The sequence below is a fragment of the Homo sapiens genome, chromosome 18 (genome assembly GCF_000001405.40).
Source record: "Homo sapiens chromosome 18, GRCh38.p14 Primary Assembly".
In the NCBI taxonomy this organism is placed as follows: domain Eukaryota; kingdom Metazoa; phylum Chordata; class Mammalia; order Primates; family Hominidae; genus Homo; species Homo sapiens.
The window spans coordinates 12,330,382-12,351,524 of record NC_000018.10 but is presented as its reverse complement, the minus strand read 5'-3'; the positions used below and the strand labels follow the sequence as shown (position 1 = coordinate 12,351,524).

The window sequence follows — 21,143 nt, the reverse complement described above, 5'->3', positions numbered from 1 at the left end:
AAATGTGTTTACTGTAGCTATGAATTTGCAGTGCTCATATGTTCCTGATGGTGCACTGTTGCTTTCTGCCTCTTGTCATTTAATAGTGTTTGCATTTTTGTTATCTTTCAGGTTTTAATACAACAACAAATGTCGTCATTTTGGCCGGCACCAATCGACCAGATATCCTGGACCCCGCGCTGCTTAGGCCGGGGCGTTTCGACAGGCAGATCTTTATTGGTGAGATGATGTTTGCTGGGGCAGGTCCAGTGCTCATGAGTGTAGGTGTGACTGTTTCAATATGATTTTCTTTTCCTTAAAAATGATTTCTAAAGGACCACCAGACATAAAAGGAAGAGCTTCTATTTTCAAAGTTCATCTCCGACCGCTAAAACTGGACAGTACCCTGGAGAAGGATAAATTGGCAAGAAAACTGGCATCTTTAACTCCAGGGTTTTCAGGTGAGTGGAAAATAACGAGGACCCTATTTAGAAGCATATTAAAATCAGTAACAGTTACCAGGTACCGGTTTACTTTCTTACCTTTTCACTTCTTTACTGTGGGCTTCCTAAGTTTATATTCTCATTTTTATTTTTTTTGAGACAGGGTCTCACTTAATTGCACAGGATGGACTGAGTGGTGTAATCATAGCTCACTGTAGCCTCAACCTTCTGGGCTCAAGTGATCCTCCTGTCTCAGCCTTGTTTGTAGCTGGGACTACAGGCATGTACCACCATGCCCAGCTAATTTTTTGATTTTGTGGAGACAGGGTCTTACTTATTATGTTGCACAGGCTGGCCCGAAACTCCTGGCTGTAAGTGATCCTCCTGCCTTGGCCTCCCAAAGTGCTGGGATTATAGGCATGAGCCACTGTGCCCGACTATTTTTACTTTGTTATTATGGGAAATTTCAAACATACACAGATTTTGAGGAAATGGTGTAATGAACCCATCTGTACCTGTCACCTAGTTTCAGGAACAATTACTAATTCACATCTGACCTTACTTTTATCTATACCCTCTTCTCTTTCTGCTTCCTCGGGAGTATTTTGTGAAAAATTCTTGACAGTGTATCATTTTTTTCTATAAATATTGTAGGAATTATTCCTAAGCGTTTTTTTAAAAGCTCTATTGAAATAAAGTTAACTAAAAATCACCCGTATAAAGTGTACAATTAATGGTTTCTAGTATATTTACAGGGTTGTACAACCATCACTATAATTTTAAAACATTTTGGGCTGGGCACGGTGGCTCACACCTGTAATACCAGCACTTTGGGAGTCTGAGGCAGGTGGATCACCTGAGGTCAGGAGTTCGAGACCAGCCTGGCTAACATGGCAAAACCCTGTCTCTACTAAAAATACAGAAATTAGCCGGGCATGGTGGTGCATGCCTGTAATCCCAGCTGTTCGGGAGGCTGAGGCAGGAGAATGGCTTGAACCCAGGAGGTGAGGTTGCAGTGAGCCTAAATCACCCCACTGCACTCCAGCCCAGATGAGAGAGCAAGATTCCATCTCAAGACAATCAAACTTTCTGTCTCTCTAGGTTTTTTTATTCTGTACATATTATATAAAAACGTGGTTTTGGCCAGGTACGGTGGCTCACACCTGTAATCCCAGCACTTTGGGATACCAAGGCAGGTGGATCACCTGACGTCAGGAGTTCAAGACCAGCCTGGCCAATGAGGCGAAACCCTGTCTCTACTAAAAATACAAAAATTGCCGGGCGTGGTGGTGGGGGTGCTGTAATCCCAGCTACTCGGGAGGCTGAAGCAGGAGAATCGCTTGAACCTGGGAGGTGGAGGTTGCAGTGAGCTGAGATCACGCCATTGCACTCCAGCCTGGGTGACAAGAGCAAAACTCCACCTCAAAAAAATAAAAATAAAAACATGTGGTCTTTTGTGCCTGGTTTATGTTCACTTAACATAATGAACAGGATTGATTCAAATTGTGGCAGGCATCAGAACTTCATTCCTTTTTGTGGCCAAGTAAATGTGCCATTGTTTGGCTGTTCCACATCTTGTTGATCCACCCATCAGTTGATGGCCATTTGGGCTGTTTCCACTTTTTGGCTATTATGAATAATGCTGCCATGAACATCGGTGTACAGATTTTTTGTGGTCATAGTGTTTCTCTTGGTATATACCTAGGAGTGGAATTGCTGGGTGATATGGTAACTCTAACTTTTTGAGGAACTGCCAGGTTGTTTTAATTACCTGTGCCATTTTACATTCCCACCAGTAACCTGTGAGGGTCCCAGTTTCTCCACATCCTTGCCAGCACTCGTCACTGTCTTTTTATTACAGCCATCCTAGCTGGTGTGATTTGGCATCTCACTGTTGTTTTGATTTGCACTTCTCTAATGACTAGTGATGTTGAGCATCTTTTCATGTGCTTATTCCAATAATTTTTTAATGTAAAATATGATCCTTTCCCATTCCCTATTTCTCTCCTTCTGAACGCAAAATGAAATAAAAAAAGAACAGTTTGAGAAGTATGAAAAGATTATATACAATAGTGTGGTCAGAAGATGATCATCTTGTTCCAGGGATCCTAACTTTTTACTTGTCTTTGGACTTTGAAATTTATAATGTTTTAATATTTGTTTATTTAACACAGATGGTATGCTGTAGCTTATTTATGCTACCATATACTTAACTGAAAAGTTAGTTTAAAGAGATGGATCTAAAAAGCATTTGACAAGCTTTTAGCTATATTTAAATTTAGTTGTTTCACTGAATGTACTAGGTGATTATAAAAATTAGATTTTTCATCATATATCAGTACTTCACCTAATATCTATGCAAGCCATTTTTCCAACACAGGTGATAGAACTAAGTTATTTAAATGAGCATTTTTAGATGCTGTCTTAGTTTGCTATTATGTGAGCTATATTGTCTATTAAGGTAAATAGTTGCCTGTAATTATCTATTGACTACTAATACTTTCATCTTAGTTCAGAGGGCCAGAATTATACCAGGCTTACATTAAACGCTAGAATAGCTTAGGGTTATCATGAGTCAAAACAGAATTATATTTACACAAAACCTTTATTCATTGTACTGCTGATTTAAAAATTAACTATGGATTTGGCTGTCCATATTGTGTGACTGATCAGTTTGGGCGTATTTCGGTGGGTAAGCTGTTCTGTGTTCATTTTTTAGGTGCTGATGTTGCTAATGTCTGTAATGAAGCTGCGTTGATTGCTGCAAGGCATCTGTCAGATTCCATAAATCAGAAACACTTTGAACAGGCAATTGAACGAGTGATTGGTGGTAAGGAAACTGAACATAACTCAAGTGGAAAGGCTGATAAAATGAATTTGAGGCCAGGGATTTCTCTGTTTGGGCAAGAACTAGAAGCAAAGAAAGTGTATCCACTCAGCCCTGGGGCCCACCACATTTGTGCTCTCTTGGTGTCATGGCCCCTCCCATGCCTCTCCTCCCTCTCCTCCTTCTTCCTGCCACCGTCCCCTGCCACCTGCCCTCTGCATGGAGGTCCATGGTGCTGGGTGAGTTTGAGATGGCAGCTCACGAATGCTTTGCTTGCACAGGCAGCCAGCAGCGAGGTGTCTACCCATGAACTATACCAATCAAGTTTGTTAAAAAGCTCACAACCTTCCTGTTTACAAAAGTTTCATCACATGAGTTAGAGGTGCTCTGTGCTAGATACAGGTGATGGGTGTAAAATATCTGTAACAGCCGGGTGCGGTGGCTCACGCCTGTAATCCCAGCACTTTGGGAGGCCGAGGCAGGCAGATCACAAGGTCAGGAGTTTGAGACCAGCCTGGCTAACATAGTGAAACCCCATCTCTACTAAAAATACAAAGATTAGCCAGGCATGGTGGCTCGTACTTGAAGTCTCAGCTACTTGGGAGGCTGAGGCAGGAGAATCGCTTGAACCCGGGAGGCAGAGGTTATGGTGAGCCGAGATCGTGCCACTGCATTCCAGCCTGGGCAGCAGAGTAAGTCTCTGTCTCAAAAAAAAAAAAAATAATAATAATAAATAAAATAAAATAACTGTAACAGGCGTAGAGCTGGAAGTGCTTCCTCAGTCAGCATAGGGGGAGCGCACACAGTGCGTTTTCTTAGCATTCCATAGGGCTTCTGATTTAATCCCTAAAGGCAAGTAGCAATTCAAGAACTTGGGCATTCAAAGGAAGGGGAAGCCCTGCACCAGGCAGAGTTCCACGGAAGAGGAGGGGTGTGCCCCAGGCTCAGGATGAAACTGGGGTGTGACGTGGAAGTGGCCTGGCAGATGGACTTGAGGCAGTCTACCCTGTGTTGAGGGAGAGTAAACTGGTCAGTTTTGGAAAGTCTTGAATGTTAAGCTCAAAGACTTTTAAAATTTTGTCCTATGGCCAGTGTTGAATTAAGGTGGGTTTTTTGTTGTTGTTGTTTTGTTTTGTTTTTTTGTTTTTTGAGACAGAGTCTCATTCTGTCACCCAGGCTGGGGTGCAGTGGCACAATCTCGGCTCACTGCAACCTCCACCTCCAGGGTTCAAATAAACAGCTTTCCGAGTAGCTGCTATTACAGGCACCTGCCACCATGCCCGGCTAATTTTTGTACTTTTAGTAGAGATGGGGTTTCACCACGTTGGCCAGGCTGGTCTCTAACTCCTTTTTTTTTTTTTTTTTTTTTTTTGAGATGGAGTCTTGCCCTCTCCCCCAGGCTGAAGTGCAGTGGCTTGATCTTGGCTCACTGCAACCTCCACCTTCCGAGTTCAAGCAATTCTCCTCCCTCAGCCTCCCAAACAGCTGGGATTACAGGTGCGTGCCACCACGCCTGGCTAATTTTTGTATTTTTAGTAGAGATGGGGTTTCACCATGTTGGCCAGGCTGATCTCGAACTCCTGACCTCAGGTGATCTGCCTGCCTCGGCCTCCCAAAGTGTTCGGATTACAGGCGTGAGCCACTGAGTAACATAATGATCGATGGTATTTTAGGAGAATGAATCTGGCTTTGAAGAGTAGGGAAGCCTCTGGATGGAGGCAGAGAACCTTGCAGTCATCACTGTGAGCACCATGAGCCCACAGCTTATCAGGGGGGAGCACCAGTGACAGCCGTAAAAAAAATGAGGACAGACTGAGAGACCGCAGGAGTGTGGGGCGCTTGCAGAGGCAGCTGGCTCGTAGAGAATGAGCTGTCCTGCATGTGAGCCGGGGCAGGGGTATGCGTGTGTGACTTGGGAACAGGCAGTGGTGGTCCCAGGGTGTGCCAGGTGGAGTGAGATGGGCGGTTGGGGACACTTGGAGCCACCCTCCTGGGAGAGAGGGAGTTGCAGAGGAAATGTTACCCAGTGCTCACATTTGGTAAGAGGAGAGAAAGGTGAGTCAGCAAGGTCACCCGTGCTCATGGTGTACCACAAGCACTGAAGGTGCATCAGCAGACAAGCGAGGAAGATGTGCCAGTAACAGGGACCTGTAGGCTGGAGGGGACAGGAAATGAGGCGCTGGCAGTAGGGCGAGGCACAGGGATGTGGAGGAGGAAGAGGAACTTTGGATTTGGCAGTGAGCGTGTTAGGGTGACTTTTGACAGTTCATCTGAGTAGAGGGTACAAAACCAGACGAGTGGGGCTTCCAGTGAGGACATAGAGGCTGGTAGAGCAATGTGGTTTGCCGGGGATAGGTGCCCAGTAAACAATGAATTGTTGAATGAATGAATCACCAGCCCTTTTATTCTATAAATTTGTTATTGAAAAGGTAAACCTCAGATGGTAAGAGTTGTGAATGGAATGAAGCAAAATATAATAATTCACTGTAGAGACAGGTGAAAACTGTGTATTTATGCCTTTTTTTTAGGTTAAGGAGAAGTGATCAGAGAGGGCAGGGCAGAGCGGGCAGCCACGCAGCCGCAGGTTTTGCTCTGAGGCAGCTGCTGGGCCCCGCAGGCAGTGTTGTGTAGTGAGATAGGCACTGAGAAAATGAATGACTCCTAAGGTGAACTGTGGGGAAAGAAGGCTTCTTTGCTTTTACAGGTAAGCCAGAAGTGTTCATCGGCAGACAGACTTAACTCCTGTTTTGTAACTTCCCGCCCTGTGGCATATGCTTGTCTTGGGTTGTGTCATTGGGAACACAGCTTTTGTTTTTGTCTTCCAGTCTCCTTAACATCAGCTGAGAAATTCTCAGGTGGATTACCATGAACATGGCAAAACTACTTTTGCCACTGTGTGATGATTTGTTTTAGTACAAATGGCGCAGTTAGTTTTTACAGCACAGAGGTATGGAGTGAGGGGCAGAGCCCACGTTGATCCAGGCCAGAGAAGAATCACGCTCAGACTAGAGTCCGGTCAGCACTGTGGTGGACGCAGGCTGCAGCACGGGTCTTGTGGGCCCTGTGTCGCTGGGGTTTGCCCTCTGGGTCTGCTCTGCCACTTCTGTGGCTTGCTCTGAGCCATAGGGCCGGCTGGTTAGGTGAGGGTGCGCCAGCATCAGCCTGGCTGGCTCCACCTAGGTAGCTCCGGGTGTTGAACTGGCTGCCTGCTTTCTCAGACTCTCTTCTGCCTTCCAGCAGAACAGACAGCAGGTAGTGTCTTATGGCAGCCATCTTCGCGTGCCCAGTATTTGATAATTCTGAATACCTAGACTATGCAATGAGGACCTTTCCAGAGTTTTGGTTTCTGTAATTTTGCGTGTTTTAAAATGACCTTAATGCTGAATTTTATTTTACATTTCTATTTGTTTCCCAAAACACAGGGTGTGTGGCTTAAAAGTGAGAGAGTTAGGGTGAAAGCAGGCCTGGGGATGGGGGAGTGAGTGCATTTTTGCTGTAGTTGTATTTTGAACCTGACCTTTTGCTTTTATTCTGACCTTGATTGGGAATTCTATTTAATTTTTTAAAAAAATTTTTAACTTAATTTAATTTTTTTTTTTTTTGAGACGGATTCTTACTCTGTAGCCCAGGCTGGAGTGCAGCGGCATGATCTCAGTTCACTGCAACCTCCGCCTCCTGGGTTCAAGTGATTCTCCTGCCCCAGCCTCCCTAGCAGCTGGGAGTACAGGCGCTCACCACGACGCCTGGCTAATTTTGTATTTTTAGTAGAGACGGGGTTTCACCATGTTGGCCAGGCTGGTCTCGAACTCCTCACCTCAAGTGATTGGACCACCTCAGCCTCCCAAAGTGCTGGGATTACAGGCATGAGCCACTGCGCCTGGCCTTGATTAGGAATTTTTGGATTGTGATAGGCAGCTCAGTCTCCAAACCCCATTTTAGGTAAGGCAATGTATAGCACTGTATAACTGTCTTTTAATGTCAGTGTCACTGTAACAATGGCTTGGGTTTTTTTGTTGTTATTTTGTTAGGCTTAGAGAAGAAAACGCAGGTTCTGCAGCCTGAGGAGAAGAAGACTGTGGCATACCACGAAGCAGGCCATGCGGTTGCCGGCTGGTATCTGGAGCACGCAGACCCGCTTTTAAAGGTGAAGCAGGGTAGCTGCACTAGGCAGCCAGTGCATGGGTGAGCAGATGCTCGCTGCAGTCACTCAAGAAGCAAGCTACACTCCTGCAAAGGAGAAAGAAACAAGGCTTTAGCCAAAACTTCTGGTAACTTCTGGTAACCATAGTTGCACAAACCGTCCCATAGATAAATATAAAATTTGGACAGAAAATTATTTAAAGGGACCACAGAGTGTCCAAAAGCAGGCGAGAGCTGGAGAGTTTGCTCCTATAAAGCAGCAGTTGCAGTGGGTTTGAACTGGGAGCCTGTGGCTTTCTTGCCAAAGGGTTTTTCATAATCTCCACACTACAGTGGTATGAGACATAGTCTTTATTATCCTGAGGTGGTAGAGGAGATAGTCCAGGACTTAAAGAATACTGGAAATTTAACAGGAAAATCCCAGAAGCAAGAAAACTACCAAGTGGTGAGGCCCGAATCTGAGCAGGAACTGCCCAAATCTCAGGCCGACAACTAAACTACACATGCACAGTGGCAATCCCAGAGAACCTGGCAAAAGGGTAAGCAGAGACCAAAGAGAAATCTACCCCTGAAAGACGGGGGAACCATGTGAGATTTTTAAGTTTTTTGCTTTTCAACTGAGGCATTTCCCGAACTGCTGCAGCACAGATGACAGAAAGCAGCTGCCTCCCTGCCTTGCGATGGGTATCAGGGCTGCTGGGAATTGAGGCGGGCCAGGGGTGTGGGGGTCCCCTGAAGCAAGGGAACCATAGAGAAGACAACATTAGAGTGTCCATAAAACATCCTAAGGAACCCACAGAGAACCCACTAGAACTAATAAGTAAAGTTAGCAAGGTTGAAGAATTCAAGGTCAGTATACAAAGACCAATTGTATTTCTGTGTATTAGCAATAAACAATTGGAAAATGAAATTTTAAAAATTCAATTTCATTAGCAATTTCAGTAGCATCTAAAAACTCGAAATATGGAGGAATAAATTTAAGAAAATATTTGTAGGACATGCACATTGATAACAAGCCCTAAATAAAAATAGAGGTGGACTTTGCTCATGGAGTGTTACATCAGTTCTCCCAAAACTAATTGATAATTTCAGTGCAATCTCTGGTAATTATAGCAGATTTTTTTTTTTTGTGGAAATTGAGAAGCTGAATCTAAAACCGATATGGAAATACAAATGAGTAAGAGTAGCCAAAACAGTAAGTTACTCATCCCAGTATTAAGACTGTGCAGCTACAGTGATGAGAGTGTAGTGCTGGTAAGAGGACTGGCACGCAGGCCAGTGGGGTGGAATGGAGCCCGGAAAGTGAACCACAAACTTTTGGTTCACAGAGGTACCAGGATAATTCAAGGGGGAGGAATTGTCTTATCTACAGGTGGTTCTGGCAACAGAGTATTCACAGGAAAAATGGTGAACGTTAACCCTTGCATCATATGCAAAAAATTATTTGAAACAGGTCATAAGAACTAAAACCATCAAACTTCTAGGAGAAAATACAGGGAAAAATCTCTGTGGCCTTGACCATGCAAAAATTTCTTGGGACACAAAAAGCATGAGCCACAAAAGAAAACGTTGATAGGTGGGATCTCATCAAAATTTCAAACTCTCTTTCTTTGAAAGACAGTTAAGAAAATAAAAAGGCAAGCCACGCCCTCCAAAAATACATGCAGTACATATACAGGACAAAGGACTTATTTCTAGAACCTGTAAAGAACTCTTAGAACTCAATAATAAGAAAACAACCCAGTAAAACAATGGGCGAAAGATTTAAACATGCATTTCCCAGAAGGTATATGAGTGGGCATTAAGCACACACAGGGTATCATTATTTATCAGGGACATGCAAATTCACCCATGAGCTACCTGAACATACTTGCTAGAATGGTTAAAATGAAGAAGAGACAGTCTTCATTGTTGATAAGGATATGGAGCAGTTGAAACGCTCACACGTTATTGATAGGAATGTAAAATGGGGCCGGGTACAGTGGCTCATGCCTGTAATCCCAGCACTTTGGGACGCCGAGGCAGGCGGATCACTTGAGGTTAGGAGTTTGAGACCAGCCTGGCTAACGTGGCGAAACCTGTCTCTACTAAAAATAGAAAAATTAGCCAGACATGATGGTGAACGCCTATAATCCCAGCTACTCAGGAGACTGAGGCAGGAGAATCACTGGAGATGGGGAGGATCACTTGAACCCAAGAGGCGGAGGCTACAGTAAGCAGCAGTCGTGCCACTGCACTCCAGCCTGGGGGACAGAATGAAGCTCTGCCAAAAACAAAAATAGGGAATGTAAAATGGTACCATTGTTTTGGAAAACAGTTTGGCAGTTTCTTATTAAGGTAGACGAACACTTCCATGTGACCAAACAATTCAACTTTTATTTCCCCAAGAGAAATAAAAACCTATGTCCATGCAAGGACTGTTACTACTTTATGTATAATATCAATAAACTGAAAATAACCCTGACTTCCATCAAGAATGAAATGGATATTTGGTATGTTTGTAGCAGTGGAGTGCCACACAGCAGTAAAAATGAATGATTATTAATACATACAGCAGTATCTATGGATCTCAAAAACAGGGAAAGAGGCCAAACAATGAAGTATGTGCCATACAATTTCATTTATTTGCAATTCTAGAAGCTAAACTAATCCATAGGGACAGAAGGCATGTCTGTGGTTGCCTGGGGTTGGGTGTGGAGGGAAAGACTCCCTACCAGTGGGTACAAGGGAACTTTCTGGGCATGATGAGAATATTCTGTATCTTCATTGTGGCTTGATGTTATGTTTGTCAAAACTCATTGAACTCTACACTTCAGATGGGTGCATTTTACCATATATGTCATCTCTCAATAAACTGAATTTTTTAAAAATTAAAGGAATTTACTTAATTGCAAAAGAGGACTGGAAAGGAAAGGCTGCCGAGCATCTTGGCCTGCTGTACCCCTCTTCCTTCAAAGGAGGGTGTGGCCACGTCCGACAGCAGAGTTGAATGAAGCCTGCATGCTTGCACAACATCAGAACTGTCAGAATGTCAAGATGGAATACTTTCAATTGAGTTTTACAAAAAGACAAGAAATTTGCTGGGTGTGGTGGCGCATGCCTGTAATCCTAGCACTTTGGGAGGCCAAGGTGGGGGAATTGCTTGTAGTCAGGAGTTTAAGACCATCCCGAGCAGCAAAGTGAGACCCTGTTTTTACTTAAAAAAAAAAAAAAAAAGAAAAGCCATTTAGAATTCTAAGGTGAAGCTGGACGTGGTAGCTCACGCCTGTAATCCCAGCAGTTTGGGAGGCTGAGGCAGGAGGATCACGAGCTCAGGCGTTCGAGACCAGCCTGACCAACATGGTGAAACCCCTTCTTTACTAAAAATAAAAAATTAGCCAGGCCTGGTGGTGGGCGCTTATAATCCGAGCTACTCAGGAGGCTGAGGCAGGAGAATCACTTGAACCCGGGAGGTGGAGGTTGCAGTGAGTTGAGATCGTGCCACTGCACTCCAGCCTGGGTGACAGAGCAGGACTCAATCTCAATCTCAAGAAAAAAAACACTCTAAGGTGAACTTATCCTGAGAGAAAATACTCCTCCTGAGCAGTCACTGCTAGATCACATCCCACTAAGGCTGATGAACTGTGCGGCTGTTGTGCTTATTTTTAGTCAATGAGTTTATCTGTTTATACACAGATGTTTTGATCAAGTCTTCATCTGTAGTAGGATCTTCAACACTGTTTTCTACTTACCAGGTATCCATCATCCCACGTGGCAAAGGACTAGGTTATGCTCAGTATTTACCAAAAGAACAATACCTCTATACCAAAGAGCAGCTCTTGGATAGGATGTGTATGACTTTAGGTGGTCGAGTCTCTGAAGAAATCTTCTTTGGAAGAATTACAACTGGTGCTCAAGATGACTTGAGAAAAGTAACTCAGAGTGCATATGCCCAAGTGAGTATATGAAAGAGTGCATTTCCTCCTCATGTATTCATATTTGCACGAGAAATTGACATTCTATGAATGGCTCTGAAACAATATAGTTGTGCTTCACTGTTTTAGGCTTTTTAGGCAAGGATTATCTCTTAAAAGAAGTAAAGCAATTAAAACTTATGAAGAGAAACTTTATTTTTTTGAGACACAGTCTCCCTCTGTTGCCCAGGCTGGAGTGCAGTGGCTCTATCTTGGCTCACTGCAACCTCTGCCTCCTGGGTTCAAGTGATTGTCCTGCCTCAGCCTCCTGAGTAGCTGGGATTACAGGCATGCGCCACCACATGTGGCTAATTTTTTTTTTTTTTTTTTTTTTGAGACTGAGCCTCGCACTCTTGCCCAGGCTGGAGTGCAGTGGTGCAATCTCGGCTCACTGCAAGCTCTGCCTCCCAGGTTCACACCATTCTTCTGCCTCAGTCTCCTGAGGAGCTGGGGTTACAGGCGCCCACCACCACGCCTGGCTGATTTTTTTGTATTTTTAGTAGAGACAGGGTTTCACCGTGTTAGCCAGGATGGTCTTATCTCCTGACCTTGTGATCCTCCAGCCTCCCAAAGTGCTGGGATTACAGGCGTGAGCCACTGCGCCCAGCTTTTTTGTTTTTTTTTTTTTTTGATCTGGAGTTTTGCTCTTGTTGCCCAGGCTGGAGTGCAATGGTGCGATCTCGGCTCACCACAACCTCTGCCTCCTGGGTTCAAGCAATTCTCCTGCCTCAGCCTCTTGAGTAGCTGGGATTACATTCATGTGCCACCACGCCTGGCTAGTTTTGTATTTTTAGTAGAGACGGGGTTTCTCCATGTTGGTCAGGCTGGTCTTGAACTCCTGACCTCAGGTGATCCGCCCGCCTCGGCCTCTCAAAGCACTGGGATTACAGGCATGAGCCGCTGTGCTTGGCTGAGAAACCTTTTTTTTTTTTTTTTTTTTTTTTTTGAGACAGAGTCTCGGTCGCCCAGGCTGGAGTGCAGTGGCGCCATCTGGGCACACTGCAAGCTCCGCCTGCCAGGTTCACGCCATTCTCCTGCCTCAGCCTCCCAAGTAGTGCCCGCCACCACTCCTGGCTAATTTTTTGTATCTTTAGTAGAGGCAGGCATTTCACTGTGTTAGCCAGGATGGTCTTGTCTCCTGACCTGGTGATCCGCCCGCCTTGGCCTGCCAAAGTGCTGGGATTACAGGCGTGAGCCACCGTGCCCGGCCCCGAGAAACCTTTTTTTAGTACAGTATTTAAAGTTTATTTCAGGCTGGGCGTGGTGGCTTTGATATGTATTTTTTCTCTAGCACCTCATTGAAGCTTTTCTAGTTCTGATTTAAGTAGATCTTTCATATCATATGTCATTTCCCTGATTTCTTTTAGCCTGTTTTGAAATAAGAAGATACGGATTTCCTCTTAATATTGACACGTCTTTTCATCCCACTTTTCTTATCTCTGGAGAAACTATTCAGCTTATTTTTTTCTTATAATAACTTTATAAGGGATTTTTCTATTGCCTATTTTTACATGAAATTTGTTCTGCTGCTCTCTTAGGTGGGAGGAGGTCTAGGAGCTTTTCTGACTGTATTCATGAAATGTTAGGAATGTGGTTTCCTACCTTCCAAGCATCCCTGGCTGTTTGATCCCCACTCTTATCTGGGCCTTCTCTTTTTTCCAGTGAGTTTGGGTCTTACTTGCAGAAGCCTCCTCCTTTGTGGTGCTGGTTAGTTTTGGGGGCTCATGGGTCCAGACTGGATCAGCTTCTTCAGACTGTTCCCTGGGCCCCATGGACTCAGTGAACGGGGAAATGCAGTTGCCCTTCTGGTCTCACATGTTCTCAGCGTGAGTGGCATGCCATCCTTCTGGGAAGAACCTGTTGGCAGCTGGGGGTTCTTGTTTCTTCAGGTCTATCAGATGCTTCTTGCTGCTTCTCTACTTTCTCTTGTGCAGATAGTAATATCAGGCTGGGCACGGTGGCTCATACCTGTAATCCCAGCACTTTGGGAAGCTGAAGTGGGAGGATAATTTGAGCCCAGAAGGTCAAAGCTGCAGTGAGCTATGATCATGCACTGCATTCCAGCCTGGGCGACAGAACAAGACCCTGTCTCAAAACAAAAACAAAAAGAAACCAGGTAGTGGCTGGGCTCATGCCCGTAATCCCAGCACTTTGGGAGGCCGAAGCGGGCAGATCACCTGAGGTCAGGAGTTCAAGACCAGCCTGGCCAACATGACAAAAACCCGTCTCTATTAAAAATACAAAAATTAGCCGGGAGTGGTGGCAGGTGCCTATAATCCCAGCTGCTTGGGAGGCTGAGGCTCGAGAATCGCTTGAACTCGGGATGTGGAGGTTGCAGTGAGCCAAGATGGTGCCACTGCACTATAGCCTGGGCAACAGACCAAGACTCTGTCTAAAAAAAAAAGAGAGAAATCAGGTAATAATATCATACAGTTGGGATTTGCGTCCTAACTTTGTTGTAGGTGTTATGCCTGGGCTTCTGGCTCTGTGTTTCTAGTCATGAGTTTAAAGCACTGTGCTGCTGCTGCTGCTGCTGCTGGCTACACAGAGCACCTTTGTGCACTTTAGCCGGCTCCAGGCTGCTGTGTAGATTTTGTCTGGTTAAAGAACAATCATATGTAATCACCACTAATTATGTATTTTTCAGATTGTTCAGTTTGGCATGAATGAAAAGGTTGGGCAAATCTCCTTTGACCTCCCACGTCAGGGGGACATGGTATTGGAGAAACCTTACAGTGAAGCCACTGCAAGATTGATAGATGATGAAGTACGAATACTTATTAATGATGCTTATAAAAGAACAGTAGCTCTTCTCACAGAAAAGAAAGCTGACGTGGAGAAGGTAGGTGCCAGTTGTGGGAATAATTCTTTACAGTTTTGCAAAAAAAAGATTGAAGTGATAGATAGACTGTTTTGGTTGGTGTGTAGACTGCAGAATTCCCTCTCTCTGGCTCACCCATGGGTCCGTTCGTTCTGATGTTTCGTTGTCTGCTCTGTCTTCAAGCGGGGGTTGCAATGTGGTGAGCAGAAGTTGACACTGTCCCGGCTCCTGTGGCTCTTAGGAATGTGACTGAATGATTAATGAAGTCTGTCAGTAACCACAAAGTAAACAAATCAGGACTCTCCCTCACCAGATAGTTCACAGTACTCCTAATGAGAAGCATGATTGCCTGGTTTACCATTGTGTTTCACCTCTAAAATAAATAGGTAGTGAAAGATGAAAGGGCAAGTAAAAGAAGCAGCCAAACTGCTAAGTAGGAAATTGGTACGTGAAAGTTACCTTGCTTGTGGCTTGCTCATGAACTTCCACAAGAAAGCATTGTGTTTGTCGTTGTTGTACCTCATTTGATAGCACCTACAAAAGGAAGGGACCCTTTCTGAACTCAGTGGATTTCTTGCATTTGGTAACTTCTTAATTTTCCAGAGTCCATGTGAAAAAAATTAGAATTAAAAAAAACTTTGAATATTCTATACTGTAATGAGAAAAACACAAATGTAAAAGCCTTTTATAAGGGATTGACACAACTGCCTAATAGATTTATTTTGCCTGCTGCCCAGGTACAGCCAGTTTCTCAAGACAGGGGAATTGCAGTAGAGAAAGAGCTTAATTCATGCAGAGCTGGCTGAATGGCAGCCTGGAGTTTTATTATTACTCAAATCGGTCTCCTTGGAGACCAGGGTTTTTCAAGGATAGTTTGGCAGGTAAGGGCCAGGGAGTGAGGAATGCTGGCTGGTTGGTTGGGGCAGAGGTGAAATCATAGGGCATGGAAGCTATCCTCCTGTGCTGAGTCAGTTTCTGAGTGGGGCCACAGGACCAGTTGGTAAGTCCAGGTGGAGCCATTGGTTGTCAGAAATGCAAAAAGCTGAAAAGCTATCGCAAAAGGCCAAGCCTAAGTTTTACAGTAGATGTTATCTGTAGGAGTAATTGGGGAAGTTGCAAATCTGACCTCCATAATAATGGCTGGTAATTATTTAACCATGCCTACATCTTAGTAGAATGCAGTCTCCTCTTATCCTCCTAATTTGGTGGCCTTTCATTAGTTTTACAAGGGTAGTTTAGTTTTGGGGAAGTGCTATTATCATTTAAACTATAAATTCCTCCCGAAGCTAGCTTGGCCCACACCCGGGAACAAGTGAGGACAGTGTGTGAGGCTAGAAGCAAGATGGAGTCAGCCATGCCAAATTTCTCTTGCTGTTATAATTTTGCAAAGGCAGCTTCACTAAGATTATGCTGTTCAATCAGCAAGTCTTCAAGAAGCCGACTATAACCCCTATGTTAGACTTCAGAAGAATCCATGCTGTCGGTGCACAAAAGTGTGCAGTGAAATGAGTGAGCACCAGCATCCCCAAAACACTGGAAAGCATGCAGCAGGGCTCTGAGGAAGAAAAGGCCAGCATGGGCAGAGTGGTCCAGGACGGCTCTGCAGGAGATAGGGCCGAGGTACCCAGAAGGATGAGCAGGTCATAGAGCTGAAGGAAGGGGAAGGAAGAGTGTGCGGCGTGGAGCCCGGGGGCAGCCCTGAGCCTGCTGCACTTGCAGGTGGTGGACCCTGTAGACCCAAGAGTGGCTGAGACAGATCTCTGTCAGCTTAGAGGTTTGTTTCGTCAAGGTTGAGGATGTACCCAGGGAAAAAGAAACACCAGTTACAGGGGATCTGTGGTCCCTGCTTTTTCCAGAGAGAGCTTCGAGGGCTTGAATATTTAAAGGGGAAAGAGTGGCAGGAAGGGAAGGAGGAAGGGAGAAAAGGGGAGGGTAGGTGGTGAAGGTGAGTGGTCGCATTCTTGATTTTTGCCCATTGAATCCACATGTGACATGTGAAAGGAGGAGTAGAGGGATGTCAGTTACGCATGCATCTCTTGTTCAGTAAATCCTCATTTTACATGCAATAAAGTAAACATAGAGTAGAAGAAAGAGTCAAATACACATTTGTCTCAGGTTGGCAGAGGGATGATTTCTGGTCTGGTCTTTGTCCATTCCTGTGAGATAAGCTGTTAACTTACATTGTCAGGGTGAGATCCAGCAGAACTTTGTTTCAGGGTAAAGGTTTTAGGGCCCACAAGGAATCTCCTTGTGAGCAATGAGTGAGGGAGGCCACCTGGGGAGATAAATGGTTTCTGTCTTTGCAGCCATCTCTTTAGGAACAATAGGAAGGCAGCTCTTGTGCAACTCAGTTTCCAAGCTTAACTTTTCCCCTTGGCATAATGCGTTTAGGGTCCCGAGATTTTATTTTCCTTTCATAAGTCCCAGGCCCTCCAGAGCTAGGTAGAAAGTTGAGGCACACAGCTTTAGAAGTAGAAGTGATCTTAAAAATGATCTAACCCAGCCTCCTTATTTTGTAGTAGTTCTTAAAGGAGTCCTTAAAGAATCTTGAGCAGAAATGATGAAAAGATCATTTCAGGAGAGTGTGGTGGCAGCATGCCAGCTGGATTGGAACAGGAACACAGACCAGACCAGCTTGGAAGCAGTGGGGGCATCTCAGCACTCCTCAGGTGGTGCCTGCAGGGGTGGCCATGAAAATAAAAAGGCAAAGGCAGAGCTGTAAAACCAAGACTTCATAGAGAACAAAAGAGAAGAAAGCCCAAGAATGACTCCAAGGCATCCCTGGGCAGGGGGAGGAAAGGGAGTGATAAACGGTTTGGTCTCAACACCCAAGAGGATTTGAGCAAGGCGCATTTGCAATCAGAATATGAACAGAGGTCAGGGCTGCCAGATAGCCAGGTGTTGAGCTGTGAAAGACAGGAATGCAGAAGAGCCCAGTCCAGATGAGCCCTCTGTGAGGCACTGAGGAGGTCTGCAGTGATGTGAGAATCTCCCCAGTTCTCCCACCCATCCACAGTCTCAGTGTCTGTACTCACACGACTCACGCTGCACAACTAAGGTCTGTTTATTGAAAGGAGAATTGGGTTAGCATGGTGAGGCTCTTGAAACACTGGACAGTTTTGAAGTACTTTCTGGTCCATCAGAGAGAATGAGCCACGTGCAGAATACTGCAGAGCCAGCCAGGAGGTAGGGAGGCTATGGAGAAGAGAGGGGCTAGGGCCTGTGCTCCTGAAACCATTGCCTTCCAGACTCTGCGAGGGCAGGGAGTGTGTACCTGAGGGCTTGCCAGCATTCACCCAACACCTGTGTACCAGGCACTGCCTGAGGGTTCCTTTCTGAAAACCCTGTGACCTCATGAGGTGGCTAACATTAGTGACCTCTTACATCAGTTTCAGGTGAAGAAGCTGTTAACAGAGAGAGGTCAGGTAGCTTTGCTTAGGGTCATACAGTGGGTAAGCAGCACAGCCAGGGTCTGACCCAGGTGTCCTGCCTGCAGAGCCCTGGTCGTTCCCCTCTCCCTGAGCCTGTGTGGCCCTGTAAGGCAGCTGCGGAGGGCTGCCGAGCACTTGGTGGCCGCTGTGAATCGAGAACTGTTAAATGTCAAGTGCATGCTGGTTACTGAAGATTCAGCATGAAGAAAGGAATGTAAAAAAACCTCAATCATGTTTTGTGTCGTCACATGTTGAAATAATATTTTGGCCAAGAACTGTGGCACATGTCTATAATCCCAGCACTTTGGGAGGCTGAGGTGGGTGGATCACTTGAGCCCAGGAATTCGAGACTAGCCTGGGCAACATGGTGAAACCCTGTTTGTACTAAAAATATAAAAAATTAGCCCGGCATGGTGGTGTGCATCTGTAGTCCCAGCTACTTGGAGGCTGAGATGGGAGGATCACCTGAGCCCAGGAAGTTGAGGCTAGAGGCTACAGTGAGCTGTGATCACGTCACTGCATTCCAGCCTGGGTGACAAGTGAGACCCTGTTTCAGGGGGAAAAAATATATATATATAATTATATATTATATATATAATTTTATATATTATATATTTATAATATATAATATATATTTATATATTATATATAATCTATATTTATAATATATAATCTATATATTTATATAATTATATATCATATATTTATATAATAGATTATATATTAGATTATTATATATATTATTTATTATATTATCTATTATTATATATATTAGATTATTATATATTATATATATTATATATATAATCTATTATATAATAGTTATATAATAGATTATAATCTATTATATAATAGTTATATAATAGATTATAATCTATTATATAATAGATTATATATTTTTATATATTATTAATATATTTTATATTATATATAATTTATATAATATATTTATATAATATATAATATATTATAGTATATAATATATTATATGTTATATAGTATATGTTATATATAATATATATTTTTTATATATTGGATTAAATTATTGAAATGTAAGTGATCACCCACAACTATGGTGTGTGTGTGTGTGTGTGTATAAGCAAATTGAGAATTAAAAATGGCCTAAGAATGAATCCTAAAGCTTTTTTCCCTTACGTATATGCAGACAATATATTTTTAAAATCAGAGCATTATAGTATTCTGGTTTTCTAAACAATCCTAATCTTTTAGAGATATAGACAAAAAATATATATATATATATGGATAAAATGATATGACATCTGGGATTTTCTTAAAAATAATCTAGAGAGCTGAAACAAGAATGTTTCTAAATTGATCACTGTTGATAGTGGTTACATGGGGATTATCCATTCTTTCCACTTTTGTACCTATTTGAAGCATTTTATAATAAAATTTTTAAAAACTGAAAAGACAAAACTTTCATAATTTTATATCTTTAAAAACATAACATTTATTGCAAACTACAAATAGATTAAATTTCAGAGTAAGGAGTTATCTCAAGAAATAAGTCTGGCCAGGTGCAGTGGCTTATCCCTGTAATCCCAGTACTTTGAGGGGCTGAGTTTGAGACTAGCCTGGCCAACATGGTGAAACCCCATCTCTACTTAAAATACAAAAAGTTAGCTGGGCGTGGTGGTGGACGCCTGTAATCCCAACTACTGGGGAGGCTGAGGCAGGAGAATCACTTGAACCTGGGAGGCGGAGGTTGCAGTGAGCCAACATCGCGCCATTGTACTCCAGCCTGGGTGACAGAACAAGACTCTGTCTCAAAAAAAAAAAAAAAAAATCATTTTATGAGATCAACTTATAATTTAAACTGCTTAATTTTCTTTACACTAGGTATATGATCTAACATAAACACTGTTCCCTCTTCTCATGATACCGTCACACTTCCATGTGTGTACTCCGGTAGGGGTCCCTTTTTCTGTAGGCTGTTAAAACGTGTAATGTCAAATTTATGGTCCAGCTGTAACAAATGAATAGAACTTCAAAGTAAACTACTGTCACATTAACCTTCCTGCCTTCATTTTGTATCTCTGCCCTTGTTTTATATATATATATATATATATATATATATATATATATATATATATATATATATTTATTTATTTACTTTTAGACAGACTCTCCCTCTGTTGCCCAGGCTGGAGTGCAGTGCCTCCATCTTGGCTCACTGCAACCTCCGCCTCCTGGGTTCAAGTAATTCTCCCGCCTCAGCCTCCTGAGTAGCTGGGATTACAGGCAGGTGCCACAACGCCAGGCTAATTTTTGTATTTTTAGTAGAGACAGGGTTTCACCATGTTGGGCAGGCTGGTCTCGAACTCCTGACCTCAGGTGATCCGCCGCCCCAAAGTGCTGGGATTACAGGCGTGAGCCATTGCGCGTGGCCATATATTTTTTATGTACCATTTAAAAGAAACTTTAGACAAAGTAAATTTAACAGATAAGTTTATTTGAGCAAAGAACAGTTTGGGAATCGGGCAGCCCTCAGAATTAGAAGTTCAGAGCTCTGCTCCGGCAGCATGAGCAGCAAGCTTTTGTAGGCTGAGCCTAGAAGCAAAGAAAGAAACTGCAGTCATGTGTTGCTTAATGATGGGGATACGGTCTGAGGAGTTTGCTGTTAGTTGATTTTGTCGTCGTGCAGGCATCAGAGTGCGCTACACCTGCCGCACACCTAGGCTGTGTGGTGTGGCCTATTGCTCCTAGGCTGCATACCTGCTCGCATGTGACTGTACTGAATGCTTCAGGCCATTGTAACACAATGGTATCTAAACACATCTAAACATAGAAAAGGTACAGTTAAAATAAGGTATTATAATCTTACGGGACCACCATCTACATGGGGCCCATCATTGACTGAAACGTTGTTAGCAGTGCATGACTGCTCTTAGCGGTGCATGACTGCTTGATTGGCTACTGCTGGGCATTTGCCTTATTTGTGTGGTCCAATGCATGGTCCCAAGTTCTGCCACAGTTGGCTGGTTGGCTGTTTATGATTGGTAGAAGCTTAATTTGAAGTTAGTTACAAAGAATGCCTCTAGGTTAAGTTCCAGTTTGTGTATGGATGGGTTCTGGGTACAGAAAAAGCCCTAAGCTGATGGCTCCTGCCTAGTCTGTTTTTTTTTTTTTGAGACCGAGTCTTGCTCTGTTGCCCAGGCTGCTGGAGTGCAATGGCGCGATCTCGGCTCACTGCAACCTCTGCCTCCTGGGTTCAAGCCATTCTCCTGCCTCGGCCTCCTGAGTAGCTGGGCTTACAGGCACCCACCACTGCGCCTGGCTAATTTTTGTATTTTTAGTAGAGACGGGGTTTTGCCATTTTGGCCAGGCTGGTGTCGAACTTCGGACCTCAGGTGATCCGCCCACCTCGGCCTCCCAAAGTGCTGGGATTACAGGTGTGAGCCACTGCACTTGGCTGCCTATTCTGCTTTAATGCACATAAAAAGATACATTCTTATCACCTCAGAAAAGCAAACGTAAGATGCTGTGCACACTGAACATCTTGTTTTTTTAATTGAAGTGTGTATCTCT

At 43.8% G+C, this 21,143-nt stretch overlaps 1 protein-coding gene and 1 long non-coding RNA gene across 4 annotated transcripts in view, besides 2 other annotated features; one reads left to right on the top strand and one right to left on the bottom strand.

The window, feature by feature from the left end:
* Nucleotides 1-21,143, top strand: part of AFG3L2 (AFG3 like matrix AAA peptidase subunit 2) — a 48,284-nt gene that overhangs the window by 25,703 nt on the left and 1,438 nt on the right. The window contains exons 11-16 of one of the 2 annotated variants that reach the window (NM_006796.3): nt 112-219; nt 315-440; nt 3,142-3,252; nt 7,278-7,393; nt 11,124-11,324; nt 13,990-14,184. In NM_006796.3, the coding sequence (NP_006787.2) occupies nt 112-219; nt 315-440; nt 3,142-3,252; nt 7,278-7,393; nt 11,124-11,324; nt 13,990-14,184 (857 nt within the window). The remainder of the gene's footprint in view (nt 1-111; nt 220-314; nt 441-3,141; nt 3,253-7,277; nt 7,394-11,123; nt 11,325-13,989; nt 14,185-21,143) is intronic. The other variant, XM_011525601.4, reaches the window with a different exon arrangement.
* On the bottom strand, nt 7,202-17,913 carry LOC107985154 (uncharacterized). Of its 2 annotated transcripts, none has more exons than XR_002958227.2 (2): nt 14,623-17,913; nt 7,202-7,476 (listed from the first exon to the last, which is right to left on the bottom strand). It is a non-coding gene; the product is annotated as an uncharacterized LOC107985154 (long non-coding RNA). The 2 variants fall into 2 exon arrangements; XR_001753363.2 differs by lacking the exon at nt 14,623-17,913 and adding an exon at nt 12,945-13,725.
* Nucleotides 14,760-15,615: an enhancer, noted in NCBI's record as "OCT4-NANOG-H3K27ac-H3K4me1 hESC enhancer chr18:12335909-12336764 (GRCh37/hg19 assembly coordinates)". NCBI's record gives its function as "activates a minimal SCP1, AML or CMV promoter by ChIP-STARR-seq in naive and primed H9 embryonic stem cells {active_cell/tissue: H9 hESC(naive and primed)}" and the evidence as "EXISTENCE:reporter gene assay evidence [ECO:0000049][PMID:30033119]".
* Nucleotides 16,474-17,329: an enhancer, noted in NCBI's record as "OCT4-NANOG-H3K27ac-H3K4me1 hESC enhancer chr18:12334195-12335050 (GRCh37/hg19 assembly coordinates)". NCBI's record gives its function as "activates a minimal SCP1, AML or CMV promoter by ChIP-STARR-seq in naive H9 embryonic stem cells {active_cell/tissue: H9 hESC(naive)}" and the evidence as "EXISTENCE:reporter gene assay evidence [ECO:0000049][PMID:30033119]".